This window comes from Homo sapiens, chromosome 6 (genome assembly GCF_000001405.40).
Source record: "Homo sapiens chromosome 6, GRCh38.p14 Primary Assembly".
Taxonomy (NCBI): domain Eukaryota; kingdom Metazoa; phylum Chordata; class Mammalia; order Primates; family Hominidae; genus Homo; species Homo sapiens.
In genome coordinates, this window is record NC_000006.12 from 66,153,847 (window position 1) to 66,180,925 (window position 27,079).

Sequence of the window (27,079 nt, forward strand, 5' to 3'; positions counted from 1 at the left end):
TCTTCAAGAAAATACTAGCAAATTAAATTAAACAATAGTATAAAAAGAAGTCCATCATGACCAAGTGAGATTTATTCCAAGAATGCAAGTGGGGTTTGCCATACACAAGCCAGTCAGTGTGATACATAATAGCGATGAAATGAAGAACAAAAACCATATAACCATTTTAATTGATACTGAAAAAGTATTTTATAAAATTGAACATCTCTTTATTATAAAAACTCTTTAAAATGGCTATAGAAGAAACATACTTCACCACAATAAAGCCATGTATGACAAACCCACAGCTAGCATTATACCAAAAAGAAAAAACCTGAAAGGCTTTCCGCTAAGTTCTGGAACAATACAAAGATGCACCTAGTCACCAGTGTAGTTTAACACAGTAGTGGAAATCCTAGGAAAAGCAGAGAAGAGAGAGAAATAAAAGACATCCAAATTGTAAAAGAAAAAGTCATTTAAGATTTCTTGAGTTATACTCCACAAGCACAGGCAACCAAAGCCAAATTGAACAAATGGGGTCACATCATGTTAGAAAGCCTCTGCAAGGCAAAGAAAATAATTCACATGGTGAAGTGATAACCCACAGAAAGGGAGAAAACATTTGCAAACTATCTTCTACAAGGGATTAATAACCAGAATATAGAAGGAGCTCAAAAAATTCAATAGGAAAAACTCCAGTAATCCAATTAAAAAATAAGCAGAAACTCTGAATGTACATTTATAAAAAGAAGACATACAAATGGCTAACAGATGTATGAAAATAAGCTCAACATCATTGATCATCAGAGAAATGCAAATCAAAATACAATGAGATATCATTTTACCCTAGTAAAAATGGCTTTAATCCAAAAAACAGGCAATAGCAAATTTTGGTTAGGAAGTGAAGAAAAGCAAACCCTCATACACACTTGATGAGAATGTAAATTAGTACAGCCACTATGAAAAACAGTATGGCATTCCCTCAAAAAACTGAAAATAGGACTACAATATGATCCAGCAATCCCACTGCTAGGTATATACCCCAAGGAGAGGAAATCAATATATTGAACAGATATCGACACTCCCTATTTATAATAATCCTATTGAAGCCCTACTCATAATAGTCCAGATTTGTAAGCAACTTAAGTGTTCATCAACAAATCAATCAATAAAAAACTGTGGTGCATATACACAATGGAGTACCATTTAGCCATAATGAAGAATGAGATCATGTCATTTGCAACATCATGGATTGGACTAAAGGTCATTATGTTAAGTGAAATAAGCCAGGCAAAAAAGACAAACTTCACATGTTCTCACTCATTTATGGGGGTTACATATTGTTTTAATATTTAATATTATAATCATGAGGATAGAGAGTAGAATGATGGTTACCAGTATCTGGGAAGGGTAGTGGACCTGGGAGGAGTTAGTGGGGGTGATTAATGGGTACAAAAATATAGTTAGCATAAATAATATCTAGTATTTGATAGCACAACAGGGTAATTACGGTCAAAACATATTGTACAATTTAAAATAACTGAAAGAGTATAATTGGAATGTTTGTAACACAAAGAAAGTACAAATGCTTGTGGTGAGATGAATAACCCATTTATCCTGATGTGATTATTATGTATTGTATGCCTGTATCAAAATATCTCATGTACTCTATAAATATATACAGCTACTATATAACCATAAGCATTTTTTAAAGGGCAAGGTGAAACAGCAAGCAGTGATGTGGAAGCTACAGAAAATAATCTGTAATATCTAAGTAAGATCATTAATGAAGGTGTCTATACTTTTCAATGGAGACAAAATTGGCTTCTGTTGGAAGAAGATGCCACATAGGACTTTCCTGGCTATAGAGGGGAAGTCAATGTTTGGCCTTAAAGCTTCAAAGGACATGCTTACTCCCTTGTTAGGTCCATTCTGTAGCCAGTGCATCAAGAAGTAATTTTGACTTTTAAGTCTCATTATTTAAGAAATACTTTCATAAGGCTATAGCTGCCATAGATAGTCATTTATCTGATGGATCTGGGCAAAGTCAATTGAAAATCTTCTGGAAAGAAATCACCATTCTAGATGCTATTATAAACACCTATAATTTGGAGAAGAGGCCAAAATATCCACATTAACAGGAGTTTAGAAGAAGTTGATTCTTACCCTTATGAATAACTTTGAGTAGTTCAGGACTTCAGTGGGAAAAGTAATTGCACATGTGGTGGAAAGACCAAGAGAACTAGAATTAGAATGGAGCTTGAAGATGTGACTGACTTGCTACAATGTCATGATAAAACTTGAACAAATGAGGAGTTGCTTTTTATAGAAGAGCAAAAAAAAGTAGTTTCTTGAGATTAAATATACACCTTGTGAAGATGCTGTGAAAATTTTGAAATTACAACAAAGGATTTAGAATATGAATTAAATTTGATGAAGCAGTGTCAGGGATTGAAATAATTGACTTCAATTTTGTAAGTAGTTCTACTTTGAGTAAAAAACTATTAAACAACATCACATGATAGACTAAAATCTTTCATGAAAGGAAGGGGTCTATTCATGTGGCAAATTTCATTGTTGTCTTGCTTTAAGAAATTGTCACAGCCACCCCAGCCTTCAGCAGCCATCACCCTGATAAGGTATCAGCCATCAATTTTGAGGCAAAACTCTATATACTGGCAAAAAGTTTATGACATACTGAAGGCTCAGAGGAACATTAGCATTTTTAGCAATATTTTTAAATCGAAATAAGTATTTTTAGACAATGCTTTTGCATACTTATAGACTATGGTATAATATAAATATAACTTTTATATACACTGGGAAAGAAAAGATTCATGTGATTTATTTTATTGTGATATTTACCTCATTGCAGTGGTCTGGAACTAAATCCGTATCTCTCCAGGATATGCCTGTATCTTTAACTTATTGCATATTTTTGGTATCTTTGTTGAGTATTAGTTGACTATGTATGGGTGGGTTTATTTCTGGTCTCTGTATTCTGTTTTGATTACTATATCTTTGTAAAATAATTTGAACTCAGGGTGATGCCTTTGGCTTTGTTCTTCTTAGTATTGATTTAGCTATTTGAGGTGTTTTCTGGTTCCTTAGGAATTATACACTTATCTTTCTTATTTATATGACAAATGCCTTTTGAATTTTTAATGGTATTGCATTCAATCTATAGAGCTTTGGATAGCGTGGGCTGTTTAACAATATTGGTTCTTCTGATCCATAGATGAAAATATTTTTCCCTTAATTTGTGTCTTCTTCAATTTCTTTCATTGATATCTCATAGAGTTGGTGTACATATCTTTCACTTCCTTGGTTAAATTTATTCTTAAGTGTACTTTTATGCTATTGTAAATCAGATTCTTTATTTCTGTTTTTTTGGATAGTTTATTGTTGCTATATGGAAATGCTACTGACTTTTGAATGTTGGTTTTGTATCCTGCAACTTTGCTGAATTCATTTATTAGTTCTAACTACTTTTGGTGGAGTCTTACTATATACAAGATTATGTCATATGCAAACTGAGACAATTTTCACTTTTTTCTTTCTGATTTAAATGCCTTTTATTTGTTTATTGCCTAATTGCTCTGGCTATTCCTATATTGGTTAGGAGTGGCGAGAATGGACATCCTTGTATCATTCTTGATCTTAGAGGAAATTTCACTATTAAATGTGAAGTTAGCTATGACCTTTTCTTAAATGCCATTTATTATCATGAGGTTCAGTTTTTACAGATAATATTTTGAGAATTTTTATCAGGAAAGATTATTGAATTTTGTCAAACGCTTTTCTGCATTGCTTGAGATGATCATGTTTGTCTTTCATTCTGTTAATGTGGTGTATCGTATTTATTGATTTGCATATGTTAAAGCATCCTTGCATCCCTGAGATAAAGTCCACTTGGTCATGATGTATGATCATGTTCAGTTGCTATTTAATTTGGTTTGCTAGTATTTTGTTGAGGATTTTTATACCTATGCTCATCAGATATATTGGCTTACAGTTTTCTTTTCTTGTATTGTTCTTCTCTATCTTAGATGTTGGTATAATCTCTTGCTTACTGCAGTTATTCATTTGTAAGCACAGATGAGAATACATTTTTTGGGCAGAATATTTCACTACTAATAGAGTTACTATAGACAAGTCCAGAGAAGATTTTAAAAACTTCAGCTTAGGTGGTGAACTGAAAAATAAGTTTAAAACCCACCACAATGTTCACCATACTGTGCATACAGACACACACACACACACACACACACACACACCCTAAAACCAAAATAGCAAGAAAAATCAAAACAAATAAACCCACAAAGCTTTTTAAAGCCAATTACCTCATTTTAGTTGCCAAAATGAATCAGAAGTTTTCTAGTCAAGAAAAAAATGTAGTTGACAAATTATTATGTTCTATGTAATATTTTACATACTTTACATTTACCATCTTAATGACATGTACAGACTGTTTTAAAAAGTGTTTAAGAAAGGAGATTTAATAAAACTACATTTTTTAACATTATGAATTTTTTTAGATACTTAAATTTACCATTAGCCTCATTAGAACTAAAGTTCAGGGCTCCAGTTTATTTTTTTCTTCACTATCTTATCCCTTTCACCAAGTGCCCAGGACATTGAAAGTGGTGATAATTGTTGAAGGAAGTAATATAAAACCAGGTTAATATATCATAGTCAAATTTAATAACACCTATAATTATTATACATATTTTCCACTAAAAGGTTTAATTTTGATTGAATGTTTTCTATTTCAAACTCCATCTTCAATTAGTTTTTATATAAATGACATTCATTCTCAAAATTCCAGGCAAATAGATTTTAACACACTGCTCATTCAAGGGTCAGAACTCCATTTGATGATAAGACTACCACTGTAGCATTGGATGTGAAGAGCAATATTTGAAAAAGAGATGTGAATACTCCCATCAGACAATGAAAAGTAAAGGAAGAAAATGTATTGAACATTTATTGAACCACTGATAATATTTACTGGTGCATTTAAAGAAATGATTTAACCAATTTATTTCCTTACAGCCACAGAATGAGATGCAAGCTGTTATTCTTGTTTTATACATAAGAAAACTGTGACTTAGAAAAGTGAAAAGTCATACAAGTACTTAAGTGGTGGGTTTGGATTCAAGCTCTTGAGTGACTTCAAGCCCAGGACTTATTCAAATTTTGCATTGGTGTTATGCTACACGTTTCTTTCCAGATTAAAAGAAAACAGTTTTATAAACGGTATACATTCTGTTTTGATTCTCTATGCCATTAATATCTTCTGCCAGTATTTGTTAAAAAAACTCAGCCTCAATGTCAAAGTTTCTTGAATTTTTAATGATTTCCTATATACAAGTTTATGTCATATGCAAACTGAGATGATATTTTAAATAAAACTCTGCCTATTTTATTACTCAGTATACATTCATAACCTTCTTGTACTATAATTATTTAATCATCCATACATATCTCTATCAAATTTTGTTCTGTTTAAACTATAAGTTAAAAAAAATTGTATTTACTTCCTATGTTCCTTCTTTTTGTCTGTCTCTTTCTATTTAGCTACTATAAGTTCAAATATTGACATTTTTGCAGGAGAATTTGTAATGTTTATGGAATAGATTCTTCTTTTAGGTCTGATATGCAAAGAGTTTGGAAATCATCACTCCCATTATAAAGCTAAGCGATCTGAAAATTGATCACTTTTCCTGGACTCCTCAGAGAGCTGAGTTTGCAGAGCAAACTGCCATCCGGAAATTTGGAGGGAGAGACAAATCTAGATAGTCACAGCTGAGATTTGCTTCCCTGGAGCAGAAATTACTTAACTATAAACTGGTAGAACTTTTAAATAGAAATACTGATACATTTTTGGAAACTAAGTATGGACTTGCTTGACAGTAAGAAACTGCTATGGTCACAGTTTGAAGGGGCCTTAGACATTCACGAATTTTTTCTCCAGGAATTTCCCTAGGGTTTTCAAGGTGAAGAGCCAAGAGAGTTCCCCTCATGGCTCTTTCAGGGGAAGGGAGGAGTAACCCTTGTTAAATGCGTTACCAGATAACTCTCCGGTAACGAAGCCTATGCTCCAGGATAAAAGTCTTTATCTTACCTGGAATAAAGGCATTTCCCTCATTCCAGACCCTTCTAGCCTTCCTCTCTTACTTAAAAGAGGAATCATTTGTGAAGGTCACAGCCCAGGGATACAGGCTCACTAAAAAACAGAAATTTAATTATAAGATTATACAATACTTATCTTTCTGCACACATTACCACTGCACCATCATCATTACGTCATAACAACAGTGGATTACAGCTGAAAAAGCTGCAAGGTGCCACCTCTATTTGAGGGGGAGCCTTAAGGAAGCCCAATGATTATATGAAGATTTAAAAAGAGGGATAGCAACAAAAGCACTTGAAGCCTCTGGCACCTAAAGCTACAGCAAATATTGAACGCAGAGCAACAACTAGCCAATCTAACAACAAACATCACAACAAAGGCCTATTTATGTCAGTTACTATTACATATGATGTAACAGTGACACAGGAAATTTTCCCTGACCCCTTCGTGGGCCTCGCCACAAGGGTGCCTCACTTGCTCAGCCTGCAGCTCTCAAGCCTTCACGGGAGGGGAAGCAAGCAGATGAGTGGATGCAGGAGCTGGGGCAAGGGCTTCTGGGCATCAGCAGGAGCAAAATTCCATACAGGCTCCATGGTAGCATCTAGGCAGGGAGTACCCATGATCCTCAAAGTCCTAGAAGGCAAATGCTACAGTGCATTCTTTTAGCTTTGCTGTCCGCAGATGGCTTAAGTGTTAAACAGCTCACTGGGTCCTCTGCCTTTTCATGTGAGGTGGTTGCTCTTCATTGGTGAGGAAAGAGGGTCAGTGTGACAGCCTTTAGCATCTGCACCCATGGCAACCAATCTTTTGTTTGGGGTTCAGGAAAACTCAGGTCATGTGAATGAATTGAACGATAGTAAATATGAAGACTTTATTGCCAATGAAAGTGACTCTCAGCTGGAAAGGAGATGGAGTGGGAAGGTATCCTTCCCCTGAAGTTCAGCTGTCTCTGGCCGACTCTTCTCCAAAGTCCTGCCATCAAGCTGTCCCTCCGAAGTCAGGCTGTTTCTCTTTGATGTTCAGCTGGTTCTTCTCTTCTCCCCATCTCTACTCTCTGACAGTGGAGCCTGGGTTTTTTATGGATACAGCATGGGGGGCAGGGAGGAACATGGGTGGTTTTTGAAAAGGCAACCATTGGAGCAGGAAAACAGGAATACATGTCCTCAATTTGTGCTACAGTTCTAGGCTTGAGCGTGGGCTTTGCCAGGTACCCCACTTTTTCCTGTCTAGAATTTTCCTGCCTTCTGTCCCAAACAATAGTAACTGATATAAACCATATTTATGTAATACTGTCAGACCATACACCATATATACCTTTAAACAAAAACAAAATTACAAATTTGCTAAAAAGAAAAGGGAAACAAAACACAACCTTAATGGACAAAATAAGCATCATCATTAGATTTAGATATAACATGGATTTTGGAATGATCAGACAGGGAGTTTCAAATAACCATGTTTAATATTATGACAGTAATGGGAAAAGTAGAAAAAATACAAGAAGAAATTCATGATTTTAGCAGAGAAACAGAAATTTTAAAGAAGAATCAAAAGGAAATGCTATAAATTAAAAGTAACAGAAATGAAAACACCTTTGATTTGCTCTCTGGTAGAATGACATGAGGAAAAAACACTATGCTTGAAGATATGTCAATAGAATCTTCCCAAATTGAAATGCAAAGAGAGATGTTGGAAATAAAGCTTGGAGTTGCAAAGAAAATGGACACTTAAACAAATAATTTCTCAGCAAGGCAAATTTACTTCTGCAGAAGGGTGCTTCTCACAAGTCTGGTTGTCCTGAGAGCACACTGAACAAAGGAGGGAAGGGGTTTTTATTTCTAAAGCAGCTTGTCCCTGCCAGCGTGTCCTGTCTCCTTTGGCTGGAGTTGGACCACACAATTTAAGCTGAACCTGGGTGGCTAACTTGAAAAGTGCAGGAATGTGGTTACACTGGAGAGAAGGACAGTTTTGGCAGGAAGGGCTGTTGTGATGGGAGAGGTAATTTATAGAGTGGTTAGCAGATGTGGGCTCTGTAGATAAGGACTGATGGGAGAGTTGTTTACTGAAACCAAGACAGGGAGGCACAAAGAGCAAGGAAGTTTGGCCTTGAAAGTAGAGAACAAAGAACAAGGAAACTAAACAAGCTAAACCTTTGAAGAGGAACTTTTTCTTGTATCTGAAAACTCCCCCCTTTTTAATTTTTATAAGTCTTCCTCTTCAAACCTTTTTAACACTTCTTGACTTTGTTGTTTTGCTTGGCCTTTTAAAAGAAAATGTTCATTTGAATAGGGAAGGGGGAATTGAGGGAGTTTTTGGTGAGAGCTGTTTTAATAAGTTTTTGTATTAATCTCCAGGCACAGGTTATGATAGCACATCCTATGAGAATAAGTACACCTATGACAATTGCAAGAGAGGTTAGGATTGAGGACATGAGCCCTTTCCATTTACCAAACCACCTTTCCATATAACTTGTGAAGGGGTCATTTGTCCTAGAATTTTTGGCCAGTTTATTTGATAGTGAGGTGAGACCTTGTAAAGTTTTTGGTAATTGTTCCATTGGAGCTGTGTTGTTGGGGATAAATATACAACATTCGATTTTGATCATAACACAGACTCCACCTTTTTTTTGCTAGTATCATGTTTAATGCTATTTTATTTTCCTAAGCCATTTGACTGATGGGTTTTAATTGTTCAGTGATTCCTTTAATAGCATCCTTGGTATAATTAACAAATTGTTGTTGATTGTAATATATGTAATTTGTCCAATCTACATTTTTATTTATTGTTGATCACCTGAACAACATGGACTCAAACCCTGTAGCTATTGGATTTTGAGCTTTAAATTCATTTGGACCTCTCATGGGACTCCAATAGCATCTATGTAAATGTGAGTGTTAAGTGATCTGGGTGGGGTGCTTCTTCTAACTCAGTGGTGATTTTCTTGCTTACTGTGAGAATAGGAATGCCAGGGTGAAAGAGATGGTCAATTGGACTAGAGCGTAAGTGCTGCTCCAATTATTTAGCATAGAACTCCACCATACCACCATACATCTGCTCGGGAGTGAACAAGGGCAGCTAGACTGCAAAGTCTTAGTTTCATTTCACTCTTTTAGGTCTCTGAGAGATGACAATTTCTCCCCCCTGTCATGAGAGACATGAGGTAAAATTAACATCCGAGGCTGTGGGCTTGATGGCTATCAGGGGCTGGCCGGCAGAGCCTTTGACTTCAGGAAATAGTAGTGAGAGTCTTGCACACCTTACTACCCCAGGATATGAGGTTTTGAAAGAGACTTACCATGCAGCTCATGCCCAATTGGTCAGAGGACCGTCCAAGTGGGAAAGGGACTATTTGAGCTTCTGGCCTGCCTGCTGTACAAGCATAACAGTCACTTTTATTTAATTTGTGAATAGAATATTTAATCCATTCCAACCAGGCATTTGTATCTTCATATCATGTTTCCATTGATAAAGTTTGTTCTAAATCTCTAATTTCTACAATGTTGACTAAGGTTTTGTTATTGGAAATAATAGCCGTTTGATCAAGAGAAGGTTCTGGGGAAGGAGAAAGGAAAGGGGGTGGAGGATCAATGAAGCTTATTTTAAAAGATCCTATTGGGTCTGTCCCGGATTGAAAATTAGCTCTTAGGCCATAGAAGTGACTTAGAGTGGGGTTAGTGTTGGTGGAGGTGGGGACAGTGTTGGAGATTTGCAGAGGATTACACTGATGAAGCTGACAATTAGAGGGAGTTACTCTTTTGGTAAAGTGGATTTAGGGTTTTCGATGAATGCAGCCTCTTCTTGGAGAGGTCCAGCCCTGATATTTGGTGGTCCAGATTACATCTCCCCAACCATAACAGAACCTTCACTCAGCGCTTCATGCAATTCTGGTACAAGTGTCACTATTATAGGCAGTTTTATTTATTCTAGAGGGGCAGAGATACTTGTCAATAGAGGATAGCTTTCTTTGGTTTTGGAGATCCCCACAGGGCAGAATGAGACAAGCATCAAAAGTGATAACTTGAAGTAGGCTTGATCTAGTTACATTAATAATCAGGTGACTAGCTGTAAAGTGAGAAAAGGTGACAGAATAATATAGTAGATATAAGAGGGTTAGGTTTTTCTTAGCTTTAGTTTGGTAGAGCTTTCCCCTGGAATGATGGCCCGTTATTCTGTAGGTGGTGACGCTTTCTTGACTCAGATATGATGAGTCCATCCTTTCTCTACTGTTCAGACTGTGCTTTCAGTGGTCAGGAGCACTAGGTAAGGTCCTTCCCAAGCTAGTTCGAGTTTTTCTTCTTTTTACCCTTTGATAAGGACGTGATCTCCAGGGGTGGCACCTGTGCTAGGAGACTTTTGGACTTAAGAGAAAGTGGAAGATAGATCGAGTATATAATTTTTGAGGGACTGATCTTTTGTTTCAAATGTAGGAGCATCAGTGGTAGATGTAAATAAGGCAGCCCATATATCACTTCATAAGGGAACAAGATGATATCTTTTCTAGGGGTGGTTTTGATTTTTAACAAGGCAATACGATGACATTTAATCCAGGGCAAATGGGTCTCTAGGACTAATTTTGTTAGGTGGCTTTTTAGAGCGTCGTTCATTTTTTTCTACTTTTCCTGAGGAAGAGGGATGCCAAGGGATATGGTATTCCCATTTTATGTCAAGCACCCGAGCTAACTTTTTAATCACATGTGCTGTGAAATGAGTTCCATTCTCTGAATTACTGTTTTCTGTTACTCAAAACCTGGGTATGATTTTTTAATTAATGCCTTAGCTCCAATACTGGCGGTTGCACTTGAGAAGGGGATAGCTTTTACCCAGTGAGTAAAGTGGTCTACTATTACCAATAAGTACTTCAGGTGACCAATTGGGGGCATTTTAGTGTAGTCAATTTGAACACTTTGGAATGGCCTTAGGCCTGGATCCCTTCCCCAGAGGGGTGATTTTTTTAAACTTTGCTTATTAGTATTCTTACATATCAAGCAACTGTTTGTAACCTGTTTGGCTAGGGTATAGATTCCTATACACCTATAAGCTCTGGAAACTGCGTCACACATAGCTTGGGGTCCCCAATTGGTTTCTTGATGTAGTTGAGACAAGACCTCCCTATTCTTCTTCAGAGGTCATAAGTGGAATGATTTCTTTCTTTTTCTCTCATTCAGAATATTCACTCTTAAAATGACCTACTCCTCCACATTTGAAACATTTATTTTGTCCTTCCACTCTTCCTATTTTTGGGTTCCCTGGCGCTGCCTTCTTATGCTCTTTGTATGGCCCGGCAAGTGGGGGCTTAAATTTTTTATCAGTCCTGGGCCCTGGGATACTTTGTTTAGATGCATGTGGGCCTTTGGGTGATGGAGAGTAGTATCAGTGGTCTCTATTTTCTGTGACCCCCTCTTGGAAAGTAGAGAGCATAATTTTTGCTTTTTTTTTGTTTTTTCTCATCCCTTCTTATATATACTTTTTGAGCTTCCCTTAGAAGTTCTATGGATTTATTTTTTTCAATTTTCTCTCTTTTGCAATTTTTTGAGATGTCTGGTCAACTATCAGTAACAAAATGAAGCTTTAACATTCCTTGCCCTGGACGATCTTCTATATCTAGGCCCACATATTTTCTCATTTTTTTTTAAGTCTATCTTAGAATTCTATGGGTCCTTCATCTTTCCTTTGTTGTATATCGAATACTCCAGGCAGGTTTTGGGTCAGGGGAACTGACTTCTGAATCTTGTTAATTATCATTTCCCTAAGGTCTTTCATATTTTTCTGTTGAGCTGCTTTATTGTCCCACTGGGGGTCTTGGGCTGGGAATTTTTTATCTGTTGCAGGAACATTTTGACCAGGAGGATGTTCACATTTCCAGACTACAATATTGGCCCCGCGAATCATGCTTCTTTCTTCCTCTGAAAAGAGGATGCCCAGGATGGATATTAACTCGGCCCAAATATACAGTTGTGGCCCCCAAAATGGATTAATTTGATCTGCTACCCCATAATGGTTACCTAACAATGGCTTGAGTTGTTTCTTTAAATTTTGGACTCCTGAGCTGGTTAAGGGTGTATTTTACACAGCCAATACCTCCTCCTCTAAGGGGCACTTCCCTTAAGGGGGAGAGGGTTGGGGCTGATTCCTTAGAGGTGAAGGGGAAAGGGAAGTTTTGGATATCCTTTTTACATTGTTCTATCTCACACTGGAGCTTTCCTGGGGGAGGCACATGCTCAAGCCTGTGGCTAGGGGAAGCATGGGGCATTGATTCAGGGTTATATGTTAGAGGAACTGAGTGAGGGGATTCCAGTGTGTCTGCTTGGGGCAGGGGATTTGGCGGAGGCAGGTGGTCTACTGGGTTCTAGATGTTAGTGGGCTGTTTGGGGGTAGAAATCTCACTCCTTTCAGAGGAGTTGGTTTCTGGCTTGCCCCCTATAGCCTTTAGGGGATAAAGGAGGACAGGTCCTTGCCACCAACACAGGACATCATCTGTTTCCTCCTGGGAGATGGGACTTTTGTCATTGACATACTCTATTAAAAGTTGAAAAATCCGAGGGCTTCCGTTCCAAGATGGCCAAACAGGAACAGCTCCGGTCTGCAGCTCCCAGTGTGATCAACACAGAAGACAGGTGGTTTCTGCATTTCCAACTGAGGTACCTGGTTCATCTCATTGGGACTGGTCAGAAAGTGGGTGCAGCCCATGGAGGGTGAGCTGAAGCAGGGCGGGGCATCGCCATACCTGGAAAGCGCAAGGGGTCGGGGGACTTCCCTTTCCTAGCTAAGGGAAGCCTTGAAGACTATACCAGGAAAATCGGGACACTGCTACCTAAACACCTTGCTTTTCCAAAGGTCTTAACATATGGCACACCAGGAGATTACATCCTGCGCCTGGCTCAGAAGGTCCCACGCCCACGGTGCCTTGCTCACTGCTAGTCCAAGATCGAACTGGGAGGCTGCAGGCGTGGCTTGGGGAGGGGCGTCCACCATTGCTGAGGCTTGAGTAGGTAAACAAAGTGGCCGGGAAGCTCGAACTGGGTGGAGCCCACCACAGCTCAGTGAGGCCCGCCTGCCTCTGTAGACTGCATGTCTGAGGGCAGGGCATAGCTGAACAAAAGGCAGCAGAAACTTCTGCAGACTTAAACATCCCTGTCAGACAGCTCTGAAGAGAGCAGTGGTTCTCCCAGCATGGTGTTTGAGCTCCGAGAATGGACAGACTGCCCCCTCAAGTCGGTCCCTGACCCCCCGTGTAGCCTAACTGGGAGACATGTCCCAGTAGGGGCCGACTGACACCTCATACAGCTGAATGTCCCTCTGAGATGAAGTTTCAGAGGAAGGATCAGGCAGCAATATTTGCTGTTCTGCAATATTTGCTGCTCTGCAGCCTGTGCTGGTGATACCCAGGCAAATAGGGTCTGGAGTGGACCTCCAGCAAACTCCAACAGACCTGCAGCTGAGGGACCTGACTGTTAGAAGGAAAACTAACAAACAGAAAGGAATAGCATCAACATCGATAAAAAGGACATCCACACCAAAACACCATCTGTAGGTCACCATCATCAAAGACCAAAGGTAGATAAAACAATAAAGATGGGGAGAAAGCAGAGCAGAAAAGCTGAAAATTCTAAACACCAGAGCACCCATTCTCCTCCAAAGGATTGCAGCTCCTTGCCAGAAATGGAACAAAGCAGGAAGGAGAATAACTTTGAGGTGTTGAGAGAAGAAGCCTTCAGAAAGTCAGTAACAACAAACTTCTCAGAGCTAAAGGAGGATGTTCAAACCCATCGCAAGGAAGCTAAAAACCTTGAAAAAAGATTAGACAAATGGCTAACTAGAATAAACAGTGTAGAGAAGACCTTAAATGACCTGATGGAGCTGAAAACCATGGCACGAGAACTACATGATGCATGCACAAGCTTCAGTAGCTGATTCAATCAAGTGGAAGAAAGGGTATCAGTGATTGAAGATCAAATTAATGAAATGAAGTGAGAAGAGAAGTTTAGAGAAAAAAGAGTAAAAAGAAATGAACAAAGCCTCCAACAAATATGGGACTATGTGAAAAGACCAAATCTACGTTGGATTGGTGTACCTGAAAGTGATGGGGAGAATGGAACCAAGCTGGAAAACACTCTTAAGGATATTGTCCAGGAGAACTTACCCAACCTAGCAAGGCATGCCAACATTCAAATTCAGGAAATAGAGAGAGCACCACAAACATACTCTTCGAGAAGAGCAGCCCCAAGACACATAATTATCAGATTCAGCAAAGTTGAAATGAAGGAAAAAATGCTAAGGGCAGCCAGAGAGAAAGGTTGGGTTACCCACAAAGGGCAGCTCATCAGACTAACAGCTGATCACTCAGCAAAAACTCTACAAGCCAGAAAAGAGTGGGAGCCAATATTCAACATTCTTAAAGAAAAGAATTTTCAACCCAGAATTTCATATCCAGCCAAACTAAGCTTCATAAGTGAAGGAGAAATAAAATCCTTTACAGACAAGCAAATGCTGAGAGATTTTGTCACCACCAGGCCTGCCTTATAAGAGCTCCTGAAGGAAGTGCTAAACATCGAAAGGAACAACCAGTACCAGCCACTGCAAAAACATACCAAATTGTAAAGACCATCGATGCTAGGAAGAAACTACATCAACTAATGTGCAAAATAACCAGCTAACATCATAATGACAGGATCAAATTCACACATAACAATATTAACCTTAAATGTAACTGGGCTAAATGCCGCAATTAAAAGCCACAGACTGGCAAATCTGATAAAGAGTCAAGACCCATCAGTATTCAGGAGACCCACCTCACGTGCAGAGACACACATAGGCTCAAAACAAAGGGATAGAGTAAGATCTACCAAGCAAATGGAAAGGGAAAAAAAAGCAGAGGTAAAACAGACTTTAAACCAAAAAACATCAAGAGTCAAAGAAGGCCATTACATAATGGTAAAGGGATCAATTCAACAAGAAGAGCTAACTATCCTAAATATATATGCACCAAATACAGGAGCATACAAATTCATAAAGCAAATCCTTAGAGACATATAAAGAGACTTAGACTCCCACACAATAATAGTGGGAGACTTTAACACCCCATGTCACTATTAGACAGATCAACGAGACATAAGATTAACAAGGATATCCAGGACTTGAACTGAGCTCTGCACCAACCAGACCTAATAGACATCTACAGAACTCTCCACCCCAAATCAACAAAATATACAATCTTCTCAGCACCACATTGCACTTATTCCAAAATTGACCACGTAGTTGGAAGTAAAGCACTCCTCATCAAATGTAGAACAGAAATCACAACAAGCTGTCTCTCAGACCACAGTGCAATCAGATTAGAACTAGGATTAAGAAACTCACTCAAAACCGCACAACTACATGGAAACTGAACATCCTACTCCTGAATGACTACTGGGTAAATAACAAAATGAAGGCAGAAATAAAGATGTTATTTGAAACCAATGAGAACAAAGAAACAACGTACCAGAATCTCTGGGACACATTTAAAGCAGTGTGTAGAGGGAAATTTATAGCACTAAATGCCCACAAAAGAAAGCAGGAAAGATCTAAAATTGACACCCTAACATCACAATTAAACGAACTAGAGAAGCAAGAGCAAACAAATTCAAAAGCTAGCACAAGGCAAGAAATAACTAAGATTAGAGCAGAACTGAAGGAGATAGAGACACAAAAAACCCTTCCAAAAATCAATGAATCCAGGAGCTGATTTTTTGAAAAGATCAACAAAATTGATAGACTGCTAGCAAGACTAATAAAGCAGAAAAAGAGAAGAATCAAATAGACAAAATAAAAAATGATAAAGGGGATATTATCTCCGATCCCACAGAAATACAAACTACCACCAGAGAATACTGTAAACTCCTCTACTCAAATAAACTAGAAAATCTAGAAGAAATGGATAAATTCCTGTGCACATACACCCGCTGACGACTAAACCAGGAAGAAGTTGAATTTGAAGACCAATAACAGGCTCTGAAATTGGGGCAATAATTAATAGACTACCAAGCAAAAAAACTCCAGGGCCAGATGGATTCACAGCCGAATTCTACCAGAGGTACAAAGAAAAGCTGGTGCCATTGCTTCTGAAACTATTCCAATCAATAGAAAAAGAGGGAATCCCAACCCCAACCCTGTGATCTCTGAAACATGTGCTGTGTCCACTCAGGGTTAAATGGATTAAGGGTGGTGCAAGATGTGCTTTGTTAAACAGATGCTTGAAGGCAGCATGCTCCTGAAGAGTCATCACCACTCCCTAATCTCAAGTACCCAGGGACACAAACACTGCGGAAGGCCTCAGGGTCCTCTGCATAGGAAAACCAGAGACCTTTGTTCACTTGTTTATCTGCTGACCCTCCCTCCACTATTGTCCTATGACCCTGCCAAATCCCCCTCTGTGAGAAACACCCAAAAATGATCAATAAAAATAAATAAATAAATAAATAAAAAGAAAAAGAGGGAATCCTCCTTAACTCATTTTATGAGGCCAGCATCATCCTAATACCAAAGCCTGGCAGAGGCAACAAAAAAAGAATTTTAGACCAATACCTCTGATGAACATTGATGTAAAAATCCTCAATAAAATACTGGCAAACTGTATCCAGCAGCACATCAAAAAGCTTATCCACCAAGATCAAGTTGGCTTTATCCCTGGGATGCAATGTGTGCAAATCAATAAACATAATCCATCACATAAACAGAACCAAAGACAAAAACCACATGATTATCTCAGTAGATGCAGAAAAAACCTTCAAAATGATTCAAGAGCCCCTCATGCTAAAAACTCTCAATAAACTAGGTATTGGTGGAACGTATCTCAAAATAATAAAAGCTATTTATGACAAACCCACAGCCAGTGTCATACTGAATGAGCAAAAGCTGGAAGGATTCCCTTTGAAAACTGGCACAAGACAGGGATACCCTCTCTCACCACTCCTATTCAACATAGTATTGGAAGTTCTGACCAGGGCAATCAGGCAAGAGAAAGAAATAAAGGGTATTCAATTAGGAAAAGAGGAAGTCAAGTTGCCCCTGTTTGCAAAAGACATGATTGTATATTTAGAAAACACCATCATCTCAACCCAAAATTTCCTTAAGCTGATAAGCAGCTTCAGCAAAGTCTCAGGATACAAAATCAATGTGCAAAAACCACAAGCATTCTTATACACCAATAACAGACAAACAGAGAGCCAAATCATGAGTGAACTCCCATTCACAATTGCTTCAAAGAGAATAAAATACCTAGGAATGCAACTTACAAGCGATGTGAAGGACTTCTTCAAGGAGAGCTACAAACCACTGCTCAACGAAATAAAAGGGGACACAAACAAATGGAAGAACATTCCATGCTCATGGATAGGAAGAATCAATATCGTGAAAATGGCCATACTGCCCAAGGTAATTTATAGATTCAATGCCATCCCCATCAAGCTACCAATGACTTTCTTCACAGAATTGGAAAAAACTACTTTAAAGTTCATATGGGAAGAATAAAGTGTCAGCATTGCCAAGACAATCCTAAGCCAAAAGAACAAAGCTGGAGGCATCACACTACCTGACTTCAAACTATACTACAAGGCTGCAATAACCAAAACAGCATGGTACTGGTACCAAAACAGAGATGTAGACCAATGGAACAGAACATAGCCCTGAGAAACAACACCACACATCTACAACCATCTGATCTTTGACAAATCTGACAAAAACAAGAAATGGGGAAACGATTCCCTATTTAATAAATGGTGCTGGGAAAACTGGCTAGTCATATGTAGAAAGCTGAAACTGGATCCCTTCCTTACACCTTATACAAAAATTAATTCAAGATGGATTGAAGACTTAAATGTTAGACATAAAACCATAAAAATCCTAGAAGAAAACCTGGGCAATACCATTCAGGACATAGACATGGACAAGGACTTCATGACTAAAACACCAAAAGCAAGGGCAACAAAAGCCAAAATAGACAAATGGGATCTAATTAAACTAAAGAGCTTCTGCACAGCAAAAGAAACTACCATCAGAGTGAACAGGCAACCTACAGAATGGGAGAAAATTTTTGCAATCTACCCATTTGACAAAGGTCTAATGTCTAGAATCTATAAAGAACTTAAACAAATTTACAAGAAAAAAACAACCCCATCAAAAAGTGGGCAAAAGATATGAACAGACACTTCTCAAAAGAAGATATTTATGCAGTCAACAGACACAGGAAAGAATGCTCATCATCACTGATCATCAGAGAAATGTAAATCAAAACCACAATGAGATACCATCTCACACCAGTTAGAATGGCGATCGTTAAAAAGTCAGGAAACTGCAGATGCTGGAGAGGATGTGGAGAAATAGGAACGGTTTTACACTGTTGGTGAGAGTGTAAACTAGTTCAACCATTGTGGAAGACAGTGTGGAAATTCCTCAAGGATGTAGAACTAGAAATACCATTTGACCCAGCATTCCCATTACTGGGTATATACCCGAAGGATTATAAATCATGCTACTATAAAGACACATGCACACGTATGTTTATTGCAGCACTATTCACAATAGCAGAGACTTGGAACCAACCATGTCCATCAATGATAGCCTGGATTAAGAAAATGTGCCACATATACACCAAGGAACACTATGCAACCACAAAAAAGGACGAGTTCATGTCCTTTATAGCTATATGTATGAAGTTGGAAACCATCATTCTGAGCAAACTATCACAAAAACCAAAAACCAAACACCACATGTTCTCACTTATAGGTGGGAACTGAACAATGAGAACACTTGGACACAGGGTGGGGAACATCACACATGGGGGCCTGTCATTGGGTGGGTGGTTGGGGGAGGTATAGCATTAGGGGTAAAACCTAATGTAAATGATGAGTTAATGGGTGCAGCAAACCAACGCAGCACATGTATACATATGTAACAAACCTGCACGTTGTGCACATGCACCCTAGAACTTAAAGTATAATAAAAATAAAAAAAAGTTGGCAAATCCAATCTTCATTTGACCAAAACATTGGCCAGAAAACTGAGGGTTTGAGGATGGGTCATTTGGTCCAAATGAAACAACAATATTTTATCATTTATCATTTGCTGTTTTTTTTTCTTATGTTTAGTCCTTTCATTATCCCTCCTTTATTTTAGCATGAGGTCTAGGGGACTGTCAGGGGGAATTTTATTATCCTCTTGACCCTTTTTATCTCCTGGGGTATTTACCTGGGGTATTTTCTATTTTGAAGGCTGCTGAGGCTCAATCCTTCGTATTAGGGATTTCTTGCCCTCTCTTCTCTAAAGACTGGCTGAGGCTTAATCCCTCATATTAGGAATTTTTTTACTTCCCTTGTCTTAGAGGCTTAACCCACCCAACTGGAGGTATCTTGATGTCCCAACCAAGGAACACTTTACTGCCCCCAAGGCTTTTGTTGCCTTGGAATGTCCTGACCAAGAAATACTTCATGACCTCCGTAGCTTTTCTTACCTTGGTCCTCATCAAGAAATACCTCACTGTCCCCATGGCTTTTCTTACCTTGGTCTGTGCACAGAGTTACCTGGTTGCCACATTATATTTGTGGGCCTTCTCTTCCTGTGTTGCTGAGTGTCTGGGTTTATTCGTCATGCCAGGTGGGTCTTGATCTCTTACCCCTGTGGCCATCACAGCGAGGCAGTGGGATGTGTCTCCTCATGAGAGATGATCAGAGACCCCACCTCAGAGGAGAATGGGTTGCCAGGCGGATCCCCAAAGTTGTTGGAAATAAAGCTTGGAGTCGCAAAGGAAACAAGCACTTAAACGAAGGATTTCTCAGCAAGGCAAATTTACTTCTGCAGAAGGGTGCTTCTCACAGATCTGGTCACTCCGAGAGCACACCAAACAAAGGAGGGAAGGGGTTTTTATTTCTAATGCAGCTTGTCCCTGCTACTGTGTCCTGCATCCATTGGCTGGAGTTGAACTGCACAATTTAAGCTAAACTCGGCTGGCTAACTTGAAAAGCACAGGAATGTGGTTAGATTGGCAAGAAGGACAGTTTCATGGGGGAAGGGACATTGTGACAGGTGGGGTAATTTATAGAGTGGGTAGCAGATGTGGACTCCATAGATATGGACCGATGGAAGGGTTTTTTACTGAAACCAAGGCAGGGAGGCACAAAGAGCAAGAACATTTTGCCTTGAAAGTAGAGAACAAAGAACAAGGAAACTAAACAAGCTAAACCTTGAAGAAGAACTTTTTCTTGTATCTGACAGGAGAGAAAAGAATAAAGCAGAATGGATGGATGTCCATAAACTATGAGATAACTTTAAAGGTTTTATAGACCCATAACTGAAATACTAAAAAAAGAAGAAAGATTAAAAAAGAAGCAATATTTTAAGGAATATTAGGTAAAATTTTTTCAAAATTAATGACAGATAGCAAACTACAGAGCTAAGATGCTCCAAGGACACAAGCAGGTTAAAGAGAGAATTTTGGCAAATCAATTATATCTATCCATCTATCTATTAATATGTTTATATATTAATAATTTTGGCAAAATATACTTCATACAGAATGAATAAGTTATTTTTTATGGTGAACTCAGGTGGTAGGAGACATCTTAGTTCCTAAAGGGACCCACTTAATATAAAATAGTATAGTAATAGGAGTGTTTTTGTGACATTGAGGTCAAATTTGATTTAATTGTAGGACCTGTTGTTTGGTCAGTTAGTATTAAGAAAAATCTTTACAGTCACAATAGGAAAAAAACAAGTGTGCAATAAAACTTTTTAGTTTACTGCTTTTTAATTTTGTCTGTAACTTTTATCGTAATTTTATGTTATTTGAAAGCAAACAAACATGATGATATTATGTCAAATGTTATATACTTTTATGCATCTATTAATAGTTAAAAATAGACTCTAGTTTATAATTATTTATATTTATGCTGTAAATAATTGTGTATAATTATTCAGATTTATATTATAATATCTCTTAAAACTGTTTAAATGCTAATAAAAATAAAACCAATTTAGCCTTTGTACTGTGGCACGCACTTTTTAATCTCTCTGTCATTTTAAGAACAGAAGAGAATCAGTTGCTCTCAGTGTTCACAGAAATCCCGGTAAAGTAAATCTTTACTTCTGACTTCACCCATGGGACATTTTAAAATTTCCCAGTTATTTTCATGTTTGCTAGTTACTCTGAAAGAAAATGAAGACTAATACATCTGAAACCCTTGTTGGGAGGATTATTTCTCTTCCTGTGATTTCTGGCAATCCCTGTAGACAGAACACACAGAATTATTTCATGCTTCACGTAAAGGCCATTATCCACACCTAAATTGATATATTTTTTAAACTTCTTCATTCTGAGAAACACATTTGGGGAAACTGACATATCGAATATTGTCAATAATTCCTTCTACTTTAATAGCTGTGATAACATGAGAGAAAGATGAAGCTTCTTTCCTTGAGGAAATAATATTTGAGTAAACATCTATTATTTTATTTTTCTGTATTTTTCATTGTCCTGTTTTCTTTTTGGCTAAAACAAGTGCCAGCAGTAATTTTCACTAGTAGAACTAGGGACACCAAGAGGAATAAAAAAAATATGAATAGCTGCCGAAAGTGCTTCCTTAGACTCCTTTCCACCTGGAAATCTGGATCCTGAGTGTTCTGTCTCCAGGTGCCATGTCTTGGCTCTTGTCATGAAGTATTTCTGACATGAGACCATTTGAAACCTCACATGACCAATTAAAATAGCCTCAACTGCCTCTTTAGTGAGATTTGCTCAATATACTCAGAAGAGTTAATGCTGGTAATACATTCTTTTGTCATATGCAAATAGACAAGCCAGGACAGAGTGTGTGACACTGAATATTGTCTGTAAAACTGACTTTTAGCTTTTATGTGTGAATTGTTCGGGCTCTAAAAGTGACATTGATACCACAAATAGGAGATAAGTGAAATGATTATGAAAGAATATAATCAATAAGTGATGAACAGTAATTATTTATTGGACAATAAATCAATAGAAGCAGCTTGTGCACATTTTCATATTGTCACACACATAACAGATAACTAGGCATGATCAAGAGAAAGCTAAATCCTGTAGCCCCAAATAAATGACTGATTTCATAAATATTTATGTGTTCAGGATATCAACTTGGCATAAACTCCTTCTAAATTAGTTAGTAATATCCTACGTTGTCTATTCCTGATAATTTCCTATAGTCTATTTGTGAAGGTTTAAAAATTATACTATTTATTTCATACTAAATGTAAGCATCCTGGCATCGTTGTGAATATATCTTGTTAACTTATATGTTTCAAATTATTTACAGATTCAGAAAAACAATCAGTTGTCAGCAGACCTGCATGATAAGCCATACTAGAAAAGCCCTTCCCACTGGAAGAGAATTATTCCAAGTGAAAATTCAGATTTACAGGAAGAAGAAAGGCAAAAATAATAAATACGTGTGTATATGTAAAAACTATTTTTCTCTTTTTTGATTTATTTAAATCAAGAAATTGAGTTATTTAATGAAAATATAATAAAATATGCTTTGAGATTTATAATTAACATCGATGTACAAGACAGTGATAGAATAGAGATTGATGGGTATCAACAGAGGTACTTACTGTTTCTCATAAGTGAAATGATATGCATATGATAGGTAAAGTGATATAATATTAATTCAAATTAGATTGGGAAAAGTTCATTTATATAGTGATTCCTAGAAAACCAACTGATGGTGGGAGGCAAAGAAATATAGTAGTATGTCCATACAAAGGATAAAAAAATACTGAATTAGTTGAATTACTGATTTTAAAAACTTAGTCATTCAAAATAATCAGGAAAAGAGAACTTAAAATAAGTGAGGTATGTACCAAATACCATTATCCTCATTTTACAGATAAGGATACTGATACCAAGTGAAGTTAAAAAATTTGCCCAAGATTAAATAATTATTTAGTGTAAATTCTGTGATTTAGAGACCTGGCTTATCCCAATTATGCTTTATCCTTAAACAATACTGAATAAACATTTTAATTACAATTGTAACTGAAGAAAAATACAGGCTTTGACTGGATATGATTTGAGTATAAATATTTCCGCTGAAAATAAAACTTTTATATAAAATGTGAAATAAAGTTGATTTAGGTAAACTTTTATTCTACTTTCCTTTTATTGCTGCCTTTTCTTTCTGCTTCTTAATTTTAATTCAAAAAGCAGTCATTTAAACAGTATAATAAAGTCACATAACTATATGCCAATAGAAGAGAAAAAAATAACAAAAATTTTAAAATCATGCAAACCAAAAGTAATAGAAAATACAAGAAAACAAGGAATACAGGAAACAAGTAAAAAATATATAATAGGAGTATAAATAGATCTAATCATATTAATAGTTACATTAAATGTAAATTTACTCCCAATTCAAAATTAGATGGCAAGATTGTCAGAGTAGATTAAAATATGCAATACCCAACTCTGTGATATCGTCAACAGCTCCATTTTAAATATAAAGACACTGATACTTTAAAAGTAAAAGGATAGGGAAAATGTATGTAATAGAAACTCTAGTTATAAAAAAGAAAATGTGACTACATTTATATTAGAAAAACCATATTTAAAGACAAATGGTATACTAGAGATAAAGAGGGTCATTTCACAGTTATTAAAGTGCCACTTTTTCCAAAAGACACAGTAATCATATAAGAAGATATGCTTAATAGAACTTTCAAACATAAAATAAAAACAGACAAAGTACAGGACTGAATAAACAAAATTTATAATTATCATTCAAGATTTTATCTTTCCATTTTAGGAATGAATAGTATAAGAGTAGACAAAATGTAAAGAACATCTTTTTTTCAGACATGACAGAATAATTATTATGCTAGGTTTCCTACTAGCAGCAACTACAAAAATAGCAAAATATATGAGGCACAGTTTTTAGTCATGGGAAACCGACATTTTAAGATGGCAATTGCTAAAAGAAAGTAAATTCATAAGATGAACCCTACGATTACCTCAGTCAATGGCCTGTGAACAATTTCCCACAGCAAAACTTTGCCCTTCTGTTGAGCTAAGGAGGCATGGATCAGAATTCGTGGCTGCTGAAGCATTTGGAATTTGGGAGATAGGGCACTTAGAAAAAAGAAGAATGAGACACAGCAAAGCAGTATGGGGGTTTCCCTCAATTCTTAGTTGAGGGGTAGGCTGTGTAAGTGCAGAGCAAAACAATATAATGTTAATAAAAGCGGCTACTGTGAGGTTGTGAGCAGACAAGCAATACCAGAGGCCACACATTATGAAACGTTTGTTCTAGCAGGTAGTTACTACTCAAGATAGATCTCTTTGAATTGCTTATCTTACTTTTCCGGTAGAGCTTGTCCACATTTCTTAGAGCAAATAATCAGAGATGGAAAATGACTTAGTTTCATTGCTGGCTTTTTAAAAAAAATAACAAAGGTCATAACTTCCTTGGGAATAAAATCAATTAAAGACACAGATGGCTTCTTCTAAAACTCGGTGTTTCTTGCAATCATCAGAGACAGTTGTCTTTTCAATGCGCACAGATTGCTCAGGAAGCAAACAACCTCTTTGCAGATTGCTATAGAAACACAATTAAATAAGGTTCTAGAGACACTTAAGATCTCCATCTACTAGGGCTTTTGAGATTAATTCCTCTGAAAAACTTTCCATCTATGCTTTAATTAGGTTTCTGTTACCACTAAAATGTAAGAGTCCCTTGACCTTCATAATCTCATACACTCATTACCACATAGACTTGGCTTCTTCTCTGTGGCCCACATTTCCCCACTTCACGTCTAAGAAAATGAGCACACAGACTAAATTCCTGTCTTAACCATCTGTAAAGCTTATTCTCTGATAGATAAATATTGTTATGTGTAGTTGATCTCATTACTGCATACTTACTCCATCTATTATTCCCAGTTAAATCTCCTTTCCTTTTGGCATATTCTTTACTCTGTGCCTTCTCAGGACTGCCTTTCACCTACATCCCATGTACCTCAGTATCAATACGTGAGTTCAGTCATACTCACTTTACAATACCACTCCATATAATCCTAATACTCTTTCTTTATATATGTAATACTCTCTTTATAATCGTAATACTCTACATATATATAGTCTCTCTCTATATATAGTCATCTAGTCATTATTGCTCCCTATCCAGCTTCAGACCTTTATTTACAATATGGTAGGCTGTAAATTCATTTACATATATTTATTTAAGTTATCAAATATTTGTTTATTGTAATTTATTGAAAATATTGACACTGAACTCTTTCACACTAAGTCCTCCTATTATGATCAAGAATTTAAAATTGTAATGTGGATGAGCTAAGTAATAACTCAGCATCTCTCTTTATTTACTCATGTTAGCCAGCCATCCGATTTCCATAGACATGTCTTGGAATTTATAGTTGGCTGTGTGTCGTAACTGTTTAACAGCCAATTCTCAGAAAACAAACAAAAAAATTCTGATTTGTAGATTTACATGTAATAGATTCTTGCATTGAACATAAGTTGGAAGGAGATATGCTTAATCTGCTCCAGCACCCCACTGTTTATAGCCCAGAACTTACATACTTTAAAATTTTCAGATAACAACTCATTACATTTTACTTGCTGCCAACTTCGTCATTTGCAATTACACAACTTTCTTTATATATCTAATGTAGACTTCAAAATAAATCACCAGAACTTTTTCCTTACTGAAGTCACTACTTCCTTGGCCCATTATTCTGTGTTTCAAAGCCTGGCAAAATTCTAACATTAGATCAGTCTATCTGCCTGTCTTTTCCGTATCTGTTTTAAGCTACTAAACAAAAATGGAAAATATCTTATAACTTTAGATTTTATGTCTTTAATTGGTATCAAGTTATCTGATCCCAGTTTGGCCCTCAATATTTACCAGTTTTCTGTTTCCCTATACAATTAAGAATCTGTTCTTATTTTTAGAGAAATGGTCTCATTATGCTGCTCAGGCTGGAATGTGGTACCTATTAACAAGTGCAATCGTAGCACACTACAGCCTCAAACTCATGAGCTCAAGCAGTCCTCCCGCCTCAGCCTAACGAGTGCTGGGACTACAGGTGCACACCACAGTGCCTGGTTTTAGAATGTCTTTCGGTCTACTTTACCTAAATTTCAAAATCTACTGTCATCATTCTCAGGTTTTGACAACCATCACAGAAATTTTTCTTCATACAATCAGTCAATGTAATCCCACCACTCTGGATCTCTTCATCCCTAGCTGTCTTAGAAACATAAATCTTACAATTTCTCCCTTTTTGACCAGTATTTTCACTCCCTCTATGTGATCTTTTAATCTAGCATTAATATGTTTCAGTATCTCCTTTAAAAAATTTGAATCCTATGTTTTATAGGAATTCTTCCTGTAGCTGCTTGTCAGAGAACTTACACTGTCTCTTCTTTCTGATGTAGCATTTCTACCTCAATACGTCGAACTTGACCATGACCTGTATCACCCCACAAAACCTGGAGGGATTGTCATGCTAAAATCACTAGTAGACTGGGTTTTAGCATGTGCTTTAAACAGCAGATGGTATCATTGATCATTCTACACTGCTTATAATTCTCTTTTCTTTGTTTTCTATTTCTTGATCCTTCACTGTCTTCCTCTTAGATGACTGCTTTTTGTTTTCCTCAAGAATGATCTTGTTTTCCTTCTCATTCATATCATTATTATTTTATTTATTCCTATGTACCCAATTAACATCAGAGTCTTTCAAATCTATATTTTTATAATAAGTTCCATAACCCGGATGATTATACATTTATGTGCCACAGACATGAAATTCAAAGTTAACATGTCTAAAGCTGAGCATATATTGTCTCCTCAAATATGCCTCTTCTCCCATGATCCCTTTTTGTGAGTGACTCCACCTCTACACGTTTACCTAACTAGAAATTTGGTCAACACTCTTGAA

At 37.1% G+C, this 27,079-nt stretch overlaps 1 long non-coding RNA gene across 1 annotated transcript in view; it reads left to right on the top strand.

The window, feature by feature from the left end:
• LOC105377841 (uncharacterized) overlaps window positions 1-22,492 on the top strand; it is a 41,388-nt gene extending 18,896 nt beyond the window's left edge. Inside the window, exon 5 of the long non-coding RNA XR_942657.1 lies at window positions 22,435-22,492. This is a non-coding gene — a long non-coding RNA (uncharacterized LOC105377841). The remainder of the gene's footprint in view (window positions 1-22,434) is intronic.
• Window positions 22,493-27,079: the final 4,587 nt, after the last annotated feature.